A 12,836-nucleotide genomic window follows, 5' to 3' on the forward strand; every position below is an offset into this window, starting at 1 on the left:
GACAGGGGCTCAGCAAACCCAGTCTTCCCCGCAGTCTTACCTGGAGCCATTGCCTGGGGAAGAGGGTGTTCAGGCCACAGTATCCCAAGGCTGGGGGCACCTTTGCTCAGAAGCCCCCTGTGGTGCTGCTCCTCAAGAGCCTCCTGGGAGGAAGGGCCAGGGAGCCAGGCGGTTCTCCCTTCCCCTTCTGGAATCCTGGCCAGTTTCCATGTACATAACCCAGCTTAATCCATAGAAACAGGAGCTGCAAGGCATGTTCTTTCTCTTTTTTTCCTCTCCAAGACACGGAAACCTTTATTTTCTCCCTACATCACAAACCGGTACTGTTAAATAATATTGGATAATTGCACCTGTCGTACTCCCCATATTGTGCTGGGGAAAAATAATTGCTGGTTTTCTGCTTTGCCGTTTAGCTGTGACTCCGTCATTTGACTCGGAGCATGTCATTTTCTCCCATTTTAGACCGTGTACAGTCAAACCCTGTGAAAGGACTCACAGATAGCGGCCCTGCGTGTATGAGTGGGCGCGGGCCTCATTCAGCAACGATTTCTAATTTATACAGCATTGAATATCCACAGCTATAAATAAACAGTTCTGACTGGCTTTGCTGCCTACTCAAATGCTTTATTAAAAAAAAAAAAGTCACCAGCAACTGCATGAGAAAGGAAAACAAGAATGTCTGGATGTGGATTCTGGCTTCTGAATCCTGGGCTTGGGAGTGGAGACGCCCCACCTTGGGAGCGGCTCAGTGCTCAGCCCCTCCAGTTTTTGGAAGGCCTGGCCTCCTCGCTCCTCGCTCAGCCCCTCACGCTCCCCACGTGTGGGTGCAATGTGTTTGGGGATTACAGTATATGAAACTGGCTTCCTGTTATGACAAGTATTGCAAGTGAGTAGGTGTGGAGGAGCTGAAAATAGCTTAAGAAATGTAGGACCCTTCTGGGGAGAGAATGGGGTTAAGGCATTGTTTAGGCAACAAGACGAATCTTCTACCCAAATTCAAAATTGGTTTCAAATGTGAGACAGCAACACTGGAACAGAAGCATGAGTATAGGCCAGTCCCTGGGGTAGTGGTGGCAGCGTCCTTCCTCCTCCTGTAACGGGGACAGTTTCCACCAATTTGGGATCTCTTGACCACCTTCTTTTGTCCAGCTCTGCAAGATGTGGACACATTTCTGTTTTGTTTTTTAAATAAAGTTTTTGGATGACCCGGTACTGCTTTGCTCTGTAAGAAAGAGGAAGGAAAGTGGGCTCAGGAGTCAACTATCCATGTGACCTTGGACTTGTCATTTCCCTGCTCTGAACGCAGAGGTGTGCTGGAGCCAGTTTGCACAACAGGCTCTCGAGGACTAAGTGGTTGTCCACATCTCTTCCCAACTGTACATTCAGCAACGTGCTGCCAGCTTGAAAAAGGCCATGGGGAGAGTGTTTACACCATGGAAATGAGCACACATTATCAATCAGAGCCTGACATCTTTTCCCCAGAGAGCTGGTTGTTAAACCTTTCCCAGCACACCACCCTCAGAAACTCAGTTTGCTCATTTGTAAAATGAGAACGTAACTCATCTCCTACTTACGAAGTTTCCGTGGGCTAGAATAAGTGGGAGTGGTGATGAATTACTTGACACTACACAAATATTGCTGGTATCATCATGTGGTTGCTATAGTTGTCATTTTCTATTAAGGGCCTAACATAGTGCTATGCAATCTGCAAATACCATATACCTTTTAGCAAATGTTTAATCAGTGTGTTATTGTTTTGTTGTGTATCTTTTCTTAAGCTACTGCAGCACCGAGCATGCCCTTGTGTGCTTAGGCATGTGCTCAATGGGAAATTGTTCCGAGACATTTCTAGTGTTGGAAGAGATATTGCACAATGGCCAGGCATGCTGCAATCAAGGTTTAATTTGGTCCTAGGGCCAGTAAAGCCACAAATAGAAATTTGCAGGCTCATCCCCACCAAGAGCTTACTGTGACTGAGAGTTACGCAGCCCGAGTCACCTCTGGGGTGTGGAACATTTGGGTGATCCCCCGAGGGCTTCACGTTTGGGGAATTTCCACTGTGGCAACTGTTTCTGAGCTCCTGCTGAGACCAGGTGCTTGGAGCAGTGAAGAGGCAGCAGTAGATGTGGGGAAAGAGGTGGTATTCCCAGCTCCAACTGGAAAAGACTTGAGGCCCATATTAACAGAACAGTAGAAAAAGAAGTGGGAATTAAGCAGGTTTCTTGGTGCCTGCCCTGGTCTTCCCTTAGGCTGCCTTCCCACCTGAGATATTCTGTCCTCTTCTGTAACCCTTCAAGACCACTCTTGCTCATTTTTACCAGATTTCTCCTACATAATGTTAGGTTGGGAAGTCCAAGTCCAATTTCCTTCAGTGTCCACACCCCAACCCATATGAGCCTAGTGACATACTAGTAGACTCAAATATGTCTACCCACCAATAGCCATTTGCCATTTGTGTTCTTTAAAAAATGTGCCCACAAATAAAGGCCAGGAAAATAACACTAGGAAAATCACAGCAGGGATCATGAATCCTTGTTAAGCATCTGGAAATCAGCTTTGTTAAACCACACACTAATTCAGAAAAGTGCTTTGTAGCAAAGCAATCTCAACAGCCCTTATAATTCTATCACTTCCCATCCAGATTCTTCTGCAAGCAAAATTTATTACTATACCATTTATTTGATGAATTAATCAATGTTCAAATGGAAGAGGTTTTGACAATGTCACTATGTTTGATGTTTATACCTGCCCTGAATGCTTGCTCAGAAGAGAAACAGATTTCCCAGTATTTTTTATAACTTACTTTCCCATTGTCTTCAATTAATTTGCTATTATCCCAAGTAGACAGACAACTTCAGTAGTAGCCATCTCCCTACATTTTTAGATCACTGAAAAAAATGGATGAGCAACCCATGAAAATAACTAGCTTACTGAAATGCTTGTCTTTTAAAGAAAGTTGGGATTATTTAAAAAAAAAAAAATGGCCCAGGACCAGTAGCTAGGAGATCTGGGAGAGAGAAGTCATTGCCTTGGTTCTGACACTAAGTAACCCTTTTGCCTTTTGCAGGTAACTTCTCATCTAGGTCCTCAGCATCCTTCTCTGTAAACTGAAGAGTTTAAATGACTCTAAGTTCCTCTCTCTCTCTCTAGATGTTCTCTAACACCAAGTTTATGTGAGTTTCTTTGGCCAGATTTTAACCAGAGACCATCCTCCACGAAGGTCAAAGATAATTAATTCTGAGATAGCAGGAGTTGTTTTTGGCATGTGCAGTCAACCTTTCAAAAAACCAAGAGTTCTCAAGTTAAGCTACCTTCACGAACCTCTTATTAAATTTAAGTATCACTCTCTGTCCCTCCTACTTTGCTATGTTCCTCCACCACCTCCCTCCACCAGAAAAAAAAAAAAAAGATGAGAAAAATCTCTTGTGTTTTCTTCTTTCTTGGTTCTTGGAAAATGGTGTGCAATTACTTCCTCTTCTTCCGTGGCTGCCTCATGTCACCTGTACAAACAAGAACAGAGACAGACCTCAGGCTTCAGGCTTTCCCTAATGGGTATTTTTGTTGTGGGTAGAGATTCACTCTGACTTGGGGCAGTGGAAAGTTGAACACACTTTTCCCAAGGTGACAAGATGCAGTTTAAGGAGTTATGAAAAAACAGCTGCCACGATGACAGGGGCAGAGAACAACTCTGCCGTCCTCCCTCAGTGCTGGGTTCACAGTTAGCCAGGCACCCACGATGCTGTTTGCCTTCAGGTACTCTGCATAGCTAAGAGGAAGCATATTGCTGTGACTCTGAGTGAGTGTCTGCAGGCTACACACAATCCATCAGCAAACTTTGAGACTTTGCAGATGGAGATGAAGAGACCACATCAAATTAGAGAGGAAATAGAAGGGTGGATGTTCAACTAATTGGGGTCATTCTGTGACCTCTTAGCAAATGAATTCATCAGCCTGGTGGAAAAGTACTGGCATATGGATTAGGTTTGAGTAAGCTCATTAGAGGGGCATTATTCTACTGAAATTATAGCATTAGATTTGTAGAATGACTTCTATTCAGCCAACAAGTTGGTACTCCATATTTAATGATCATAAATCTTTGTGTAAGCTCTGCAATTTGTGAAATTTCATTAGCTCATTATCCTTTGTGCTTGTTGCCAAATACTGTCAATGCTACTTTAAAAACTTCTCCTCCATTCCAGAACTTACAGCCCTGGTAGTTCTGGCTTGGTATTCCTGCAGCAAATCCATGCTCCTAATTCCATGATTCACCCTTCAAACCCTGCCACCTTCATCAATTCTATCCTTAACAGTAAACACTAGATATCTTATACTCATTCCATTCTGCTGGAACTCCACTTCTTAGAGGCTATCATGACTGGTGACTTGAAGTCCTGTTTGTGGCCCCTTAATTACACTGATTTCCTAGGATGGCCACCTCTTGATCATGCAGTCCTCATGGCTATCCTTGTATTCATCTCATGCAAAATTTTCAAGATCAAAACTCTGTCTTCTTCGTCTGCTCCTCATCAATCTAGACTACCCCAGTCACTTCAGCCGAGGCTTATTGTTTATCAAGCTTTATGGATTTCACGTTGTTTTCATTGGTGTGTCTACTTCTTTCTCTTCTGTTTTTCCCTTTTTTTTTTTTTTTTTTTTTTGAGACAAGGTCTTTGCCCAGGCTGGAATACGGTGGCACAATCTCAGCTCACTGCGGCCTTGAGCTCCTGGGCTGAAGTCCTCCAACCTCAGTCTCCTGACTAGTTGGCACTAGAGGTGCACACCACCATGCCCAGCTTTTTTTTTTTTTTTTTTTTTTTTTTTTTTTTTGCTTTTTTATTAGATACAGGGTCTCACTATGTTGCTCAGGATGATCTTGAACTCCTGGCCTCACCACAAGGGATCCTCCCATCTCAGCCTCCCAAAGTGCTAGGATTACAGGCAAGAGCCACCACCCTTGGCCTTATTTTCCATTTTTGATGTGAATTCTCTCCTCCCTAGTTAGGGCTTCTCTACATTAGGTCTATAAGTACAAGCACAGTACCTCCTTTTTCTGTAGAGTATACTCTGGGCCTTTAATGAATTCTTTTTCAATTAAATAACCAGCTCACATACAAGAGGGACAATATAAACTTGGTCAATATAAACTTCTCAAATTTCTACCCCGCAGTCACTCTGAGGATTCCTAAAACTTTCTTTTATCCATGTTGTTTACCAATCCCCAAGCCCTCAAGCCTAACTGTAATAATAACCTCAGTCCTTCCACCCCAGGTGTTGAGGACTGAAGACTCCCTTCTCCATTTAAGAAATGCAACAGAACACGAAGGTTTGGAGAAAAGCCACCCAGGAGCAGACATGGTGGTATGAAGCTCTGCTGGGGGAGGACAGCAGGTGGTTCCCTCCATTGGATTAGAGTCCTCTGTCCAAAACCAAGTAGCTAGGAGGAACACTCAGAAATGCCCACATACCCATCCACATGCTAGAGAAGGCACTGTTCCCAAATGGGTCTCTGTGGTGCTCCCAAAGTCATTTTATTCTGTAGGGACTCATGTGGCGTGAACGTTGCAAAAATCATGTTTCTTTTTGCTTCTAGCAGCTGGGAATGGCAAGCGGGTCTTAGTCTTGAATTCTCACAGAGCTAAGCAGTTTGTAGGCTTCTTTAAGTCTTCAAAATTTATCTCTGACCATGCTTTTTTTCTTTTTCTTTTTCTTTTTTTTTTTTTGAGACAGGGTCTTCCTCTGTCACCCAGGCTGGAAGGCAGTGGTGTGATCTTGGCTCACTGCAACCTCTGCCTCCCAGATTCAAGTGTTTCTCCCACCTCTCAGCCTCCCGAGTAGCTGGGACTACAGGTGTGCGCCACCACACGTAGCTTTTTTTTTTTTTTTTTGTATTTTTAGTAGAGATGGGGTTTCACCATGTAGGCCAGGCTTCTCTTGAACTCCTGAGCTCAAGTGATCCACCCGCCTCGGCCTCCCAAAGTGCTGGGATTACAGGTGTGAGCCACCGCACCCAGCCTTCTGACCATGTTTCTATAACGCATAGCTGGAAATAAGGAAACTGTTGACTTAATAATAGATCATATATCTTACCCAAACCAAATTCACAAAATGGATTTTAAGTTGTAATTGGAAAATTATGTTTATTATAAATATTTTCTTGATTGAGAAGCATTTTTCCCAGTAGAAAGTATCCTAGTTGGCAGATAGGAAGTTAGATTCACCCCGACTTGTTTTATTCCTTTAACTGCTGTCAGATAGTAGCAAGGGCTAGAAATATTTTTATAGCCCTGATATTTCACCTGATATTCTTGACCAGTTGGTGCTTGGCTGGTGACTTCCAATCGGGCCACTGGAAGCAGATTCCAACAGATTCTAGCCTCCATCTTTGCAAGATCTGAACAGAAACTGCAGGCATGGCCAAGAAATTATTGTTTCAATCAACATCACCATAGATACCATATATAATTATATGCCTTATTATTCCAATAGTTAGAAATCAGGATAAATAAAAACATAGTATTCTCAAAGATTTACACCTATGTATCTACAACCACAAAAATGAATGCCAGGCATTGAAAATTTGAAGAACATTTGCCTAGTTTCAGTGGGCTGACTCAGAAAAGGGCAAGAAAATTGATGGTTGGGGGGATAGCAGGTGTTAGAGAAATGAGATCTGAGCACTGATAGTCCTGTGTTCACACTGCAGAAGTCCAGGGAGGACAGGGAACTGAGGGCTGGCTGGAGAAACTCCTGTGGGAAAGAGGCTGAGGAAGAGGCAGGGAGGGTAATCCACAGCGGGCTCTTTTTGAGTTTAGGGAGATGAAGTTAGGACAAGAAAGGCAAAATGGAGATAAATTTTTGCCATTGACTAAATGCTGCCCCAGTGGGACCATGCTTTAGAAGTACCTGTGGAGTCATCGCATGATAAAATTCTTTTGCTATGGAATAAGCAGAGTTAATAAGACAAACCTCATCTAATTCCTTCATGAATAAAACAAGGAGGTGGATTAGATGGCCTCTAGGCAGCTTTCATCAAGAAAATCTGCCTTTTAAAAAACCTGGTTTATGGCAAATAATATTAAAAGAAAGTTTCCATGTCATTCTGTCCAGGACACACTCCCAGCGCCACTTGGCCAGGCTGGAATTTTCAGCTTACAGTCTGTCCTTAGGATGAGAAGGACCTATGGTCTTAGGGGCCCTGACAAAGGACAGCCTGACTCCTGGCATGTGTCCATCAAGGGGCATAGGGAGAGGGGTCACAGGCCCTGGATAAGCTGACTGTCTCTCCAACCACCCCCACATAGCAGAGGCCCTGCCATTTGGGCCTGGAGGTGTTTAGCCCCTTTCTGTGCCCCATATCTCTTGTGGGATGATTTTCTCTTCCTGAGGAGCTTGTGTGCTGGTGTCAGCATCCTTGTGTGCTATCAATCATCAAAGAAAAAAAAGAAAATTAAGCACATAAGGGGCAGAGAAGGGAGCCTTTGATAGGATGTCCTGATTGCCTCTTGCCCCCAGTCAATGTGGAAGAGAACCTGCCCTGGGCATGCCTGGGTGTTCAGTCATGGTCATGGTGAGCCAAGCTCTCAATGTCTTGCCAGAGACAGCTTCCCCCATCTGCTTCTATCATGGTTTGAAGTTAACATTCCATCTAACTCCTCCCAAAAAGTAGAAATTGAATCTTTCTTGGGGGATGACTGGTCCCAGTAACTGACTCTGTGCTTGCCCAACCCTCTGCCTCATGACACAGAAAGGCTAGCCCAGGGCAGGGAGTGAGATGGTGACAGGTCAGGCCAGGTGGCCCTGAGGAACCTCTTGTGAGCTTTTTGAGCCTCAGTGCATTCTTGAAGGACCTTCCTGTGGGCCATGACAACACTTGCCTCCTTGACGCTCAAAGCCAGTTCCCTGCAACTGAGTGCCCTGGGAGGACCTCATCATACACTTTCCAATTTAACATGTGATTCCCAGTATGGTTTCTTATTGCTGTCCTTCTTGCTCTCTTGTCCATATTCACCCACTGATGTGGCACAGGAGGAGGGAGAAAGTGAGTAGATGTTCAGCTATTGTGACCATCACCACCAACACCCTTCTCAGTCCAGCAGCCCACTCAGGAGAGCACCACACTGCACAAGGATGCCGTAGACAGAATTATCCACATTGGGAGGAGTCCAGGGTCCTGAGATGTAATAGAGCCTTGTCCTCAGACCAGCAGCATCAGTATGTCTGGAGTATGCGTTAGAAGGGCAGAATCTCAAACTGCACCCCAGATCCACTAAATCAGAATCCACACTTTAACAAGATCTCCGGGTTCCCCAAGATCCTCATTTTGATGAGCATCAGAGGCCTATACAGGTTTGAGAAGCGTTGCTCTGTAACAGCGGTTCCGGATCCCGATTGCAAGTTAAAATAACTGGGAAGCTTTAAAAAATACCCATGTCGAGTCACCATCTCTAGAGATATGGATCTAATTGGTCTAAGGCAGGCCTGGGAATTATTATTTTTTAAACTTCCCTAGTGTTTCTGTGATGTAAAAAGCCAAGGTGGAGAACTACTGCTAGAGAGCTACTGTCACATTGAATGGGTCTTGACTGATACTTCGCCTGATGTTCTTGACCGCTTGGTGCTTGGCTGGTGACTTCAAATTGGGCCACTGGAAGCAGAGATTCCAGTTGTGTCTCAGGATTTCAGAAGCAGAGATTCCAACAGATTCTAGCCTCCAATAGCCTGACCTCCTATTTGCTGTAAGTACCTGAGGACGTGCATCATCTCTGTCCGTCTGCTATCGGGTAGCTGTTACCTTTAATCACTTGCAGCTGGGAAACTGGTAATTTATACATCAACTCAAAGGGGAGAATGAGGGAGAATAAGATGACCAGCAGCAGTGACTAACTGTATGCCAGGTCCTGCTGTAGGCGCTAGATCCTCAGCAAGTCATCTGAGGTTCTCCGTGAGCCCAGGAGGAGGCCACTAGCATTATCTCCACTAGGACAAGAGAAAGCTGGGGCACAGAGACCTTCAGTGTCTCACTCAGTGTCACAGGTACAAGTGGCAGGGCCAAGATAGAGACTGAGGCAGTTTGGCACCAGAACTTTTCTTCTAACCACAGCCCCCGACTGCCTCCCTAAAGCATTCATTTGAATTTCTCCTGTCATCAAAGGGGGCTCAGGCTGTGGAAGGAGGGAAAACATAGGCTTAGCTCTGGCTTTGGACAGAATACGTGGCTATCTATAAGTTTCCAGAACTGAAGATCTGGAGAAAGGCTCACTAGTAGGGGAACCAGTCAACTGAGTGCCCAAGCCTAGACAATATTAAACCTTATGAATACTGGCACAGCAGGAATAGACAGGGATCATCTCAGGCCACCTGGGCTTGGTGGTCACTCTACTTAGAGGCTGTCTGATCACTGAGGAATTGAAGTGCATTGCCACAGAATACATGGTTGGTTTGCGGCCAGGTGAGGGATATACCCTTTTCTTTTTTTTTGAGATGGAGTCTTGCTCAGTCACCCAGGCTGGAGTGCAGTGGCGCGATCTCGGCTCACTGCAAGCTCCGCCTCCTGGTTTCATGCCATTCTCCTGCCTCAGCCTCCCGCGTAGCTGGGACTACAGGCGCCCGCCACCACACCCGGCTAATTTTTTGTATTTTTAGTAGAGACGGGGTTTCACTGTGTTAGCCAGGATGGTCTCGATCTACCGTGGCTTTCTTGATTCCTATTCCAGTGCTCTTTCCCCTGTTTAATACTTTCTGCCCTAACATGCATGTCTTCAACAACTCTCTAACTGGTACGCCTTGTCATCACCCTCCTATACTCCTTAAACTCCCTGCCCAATACTCTACAGCCATTAGAGTCACTCCTTATCTGCTGTCTCCAGAACACCTTTGCAAAAAGTTGTACTTTACACCTAGGAAAAAAGGCCCTTGGATATTCTATTGTCTGCACTGATTGAGGCAACGAGAAAGCTAATGGAAATAGTGGATCTTGAGATGAACAAGACATACCCCTAATTCGTAAGACACCCGAGGTCTAGTGGAAAAACAAATCCCTAAAGCAGTAGTAAAACCGCAGTCATGATAAAATGGTAAGTCTGGTGACTGGGAGGTAAAGGGGGAAGCACTGGGAAGGGCATGAAGTCCAACCTGGGCTGACCAGGGAAGGCTTCCTGGAAGAGGCGAGTGTTGAAATGCATGAGTATGAACCAGGCAAAGACTGGAGGAGACACAGAATCCCGTGGACGTAAGAAACAACATCAACGTGGAGGGAAAACCAGCAGTTTGGTGCCACTGGGGCACACATATAGAAGAGCAAAAGCCAAAGCAGGGACTGGGTCACAGAGGCCCTTGTGTGTCATTCCAAGGGTGTGGACTTTCTTCAGTCAATTGGGGGAAGCCTTAGAAAGTGTTTTCAGTAGAATAGGACATGGGGAAATGTGTTCACATAGGTTATTTAGCTTTCAGCAATGTAAAAGTGTTCACTGCATTGCAACTTTAACAAATCTAATTTTTCTTTAATTCGTATTAAATTATTTATAATTAATAAAGATCTGTTCAAGATTTAATACATTTCTGATCTTATTCTGATGTTAAATAGGACCTTTTACCCTTTCTCTTCTTTAAAAAGTTAAAAATCTAGAAAGACCTCGAGAGGTAAGTACAGTCATTTACAATCGTCTCTTTCTACTTGAAAACTTGCATGTACATGAGGTAGTTGAGGGTCCATATGATGCCAGCTTATCTGTTTATTGAGACCTAATTATAGTTAAAAATTGGATGCAGTACTTAAACAATGAGGCTTGTTAAGAACGTTGTATTGAGAATAGTAATTTCAATAATAATAAATATGATGATAATTTTGTTTTTTAATTCAATGGATGTTTAAAATTCACCATAGAGTAACAATTTAAAAATTAACTCAATACATTATTGAACTCAATACAATTGATTTTAAAAGTTATTGTTCTCTAAGCTCTAAGTAATCAAGTTTTTCTCTGTACTTCCTATATCTTAAAGCTTCTTTAAATATATATAGAGAGAGAGAGATTTGGGGAGGCATCAGAAATCTTTACCCAGAACTTCAAGGAGCCAAAACTAGTTAGAATTATATGTCAACACATCTGAAATGTCAACACATTTTTTTTTTTGCGATAATTTTCTGTGATTTGGAATCCTGATTGGGAAGTAATTTTTAGTATTCCATTTTTTTAAGTGTTTGCTTTCAAAGAGAATTTTGCCCTTGAGAGTTTCTTAAACCAGTCAAATTCTCCAAGAGTAGAAAACATGTGATACATCCAAGTTGCGTGCTTATTTCTCCAGGGTCTCAGCTTCCTCTCAGAAACGCACACTCTGGTACTGAACCTTCTGAAACTGTCAGGTTTTTTTTGCATACACGGGCTTATGTTTTCACACCAGTTCATAGATTGGGCGGAAGATGGCACTTCTGCCATCTCTATTTTGATAGAACAGAATGGCATGTGGGCGAGTGATGTGGGGGACTGGGTGTGACTCTTTGCCATCCTTATATACAGAATCAGGGTAGAGTTCCTGCGCTTCTCCTGGGGTAGGGAAGCAAGTCATGGGTGTTTTACAGCCTGACTTTCTGGTAGTTACTTTTCCAACAATAAAAAAATATTCTGGGGTGGGGTGGGGAGAGAGGAAGCAGGAAGGAGAATGAAATCTTCCATTTTAAAATTAACTAAGTTAAGATGATTTTTTTTTCTTAGGAAGAAGCAACAGGATTGTACCCACCTATAACGAGAAAGCTTAACTTACTGACATATTCTCATTGCTGAAGACTCTGTCTGAATGAGGATTTCAATCTCAAGTCTAGGATGTGATTTCATCTGGTAAATGTCTTATGGAAGGCTGAGGAGCAGCCTAATGAGGTACTGCTGAGTTGGGAGGAGGTGGGAGGAGCTGAGAGGGCTATCTGGACTCACTTCCCTCAAAATGAAACCTTGATATTTTCAAAGCTTGTGTCCCTGGAGCCCTCACTTGGGTTAGGGGGAGACCCCTGATTTTATTTATTCATGCTAGGGATGGTAATACCTTGTTCTCTAGGTCCTGGGCTTTCTAAAGAAGATTATTTTTAGCTCTAAAGTTAAATGACACATTGTTTGGGGGAGGAGGGGAGATCCTTTGATGGGGTCCTTTAAAAGAGTGCCCCACCCCCAACGCTGTCCTCTTGCCTTGGCAGGACCTCTTGGCAGGACCTGTCTGAGTACTTTGGACAAAGACAGTAAGCATCATTGCTTCTGTTTGCGGCTAGTTTTTCTTTCTGTTTCCAGGTGAAGGGGAGAGGCAGACACGGAAGAAGCGCATCTGTAGCTAAGAAAGAAATACACTGACCCCATTTCCAGTGGTTGAGCTTCTCTCCAAGTAGGTAGATGCTGGCGATGAAGACGTAGCTGAGAGAGAAGAAAGCTGCTAGACCCAAGAGGCTGAGTTTGGCAAACACAGGATACACCCAGGTACCCGTCTCAAAGTAGAGCCATAGGATGCTGCAGGAAATAAGAAGTCGTGGTGGTTATAGCAGGAGGAGAAAAACAAGCCATTTTCTCATCAGGATTAATGAGGTACTGGTACCCAGGCAGGGGAAGAGAACCCATCAGGGACGTTTGTCAACAGCTGTAGTATTCCCACAAACCTAAAGAAGTGAGGCTTTTCTGGGTAAATCAACTTGATTCAATAAGACATGCTGTTTGATGGGCTGGGCTGGGCTGTTTTACCTAATCCACTTAAATTCAACATTGGTGAAAAAATATAAGAGAACATAGGGCCAGGCACTGTGGCTCATGCCTGTAATCCCAGCACTTTGGGAGGCTGAGGGGGGTGGATCACCTGAGGTC

At 44.1% G+C, this 12,836-nt stretch overlaps 1 protein-coding gene across 4 annotated transcripts in view, besides 3 other annotated features; it reads right to left on the minus strand.

Annotated features, from left to right (window-relative positions):
* Positions 628-677: an enhancer, noted in NCBI's record as "active region_23990". NCBI's record gives its function as "activates an Ori minimal core promoter by ATAC-STARR-seq in GM12878 lymphoblastoid cells {active_cell/tissue: GM12878}" and the evidence as "EXISTENCE:reporter gene assay evidence [ECO:0000049][PMID:35858748]".
* Positions 2,511-12,836, minus strand: part of ADTRP (androgen dependent TFPI regulating protein) — a 65,281-nt gene continuing 54,955 nt past the window's right edge. For 2 of the 4 annotated variants that reach the window (XM_011514956.2, XM_047419420.1), the window contains exons 5-7: positions 12,337-12,488; positions 6,297-6,402; positions 2,511-3,500 (exon numbers count right to left, since the gene is read on the minus strand). In XM_011514956.2, coding sequence (XP_011513258.1) covers positions 3,497-3,500; positions 6,297-6,402; positions 12,337-12,488 — 262 coding nt within the window. In that variant the 3' untranslated portion in view covers positions 2,511-3,496. The remainder of the gene's footprint in view (positions 3,501-6,296; positions 6,403-12,336; positions 12,489-12,836) is intronic. The other 2 variants (NM_032744.4, NM_001143948.2) reach the window with 1 other exon arrangement.
* Positions 3,364-3,513: an enhancer, noted in NCBI's record as "active region_23991". NCBI's record gives its function as "activates an Ori minimal core promoter by ATAC-STARR-seq in GM12878 lymphoblastoid cells {active_cell/tissue: GM12878}" and the evidence as "EXISTENCE:reporter gene assay evidence [ECO:0000049][PMID:35858748]".
* Positions 11,202-12,401: an enhancer, noted in NCBI's record as "BRD4-independent group 4 enhancer chr6:11722447-11723646 (GRCh37/hg19 assembly coordinates)". NCBI's record gives its function as "activates an origin of replication core promoter dependent on BRD2, P300/CBP, MED14 and CDK7 cofactors, and independent of BRD4, by STARR-seq in HCT116 cells {active_cell/tissue: HCT116}" and the evidence as "EXISTENCE:reporter gene assay evidence [ECO:0000049][PMID:35650434]".

Source organism: Homo sapiens, chromosome 6, assembly GCF_000001405.40.
Source record: "Homo sapiens chromosome 6, GRCh38.p14 Primary Assembly".
In the NCBI taxonomy this organism is placed as follows: Eukaryota; Metazoa; Chordata; class Mammalia; order Primates; family Hominidae; genus Homo; species Homo sapiens.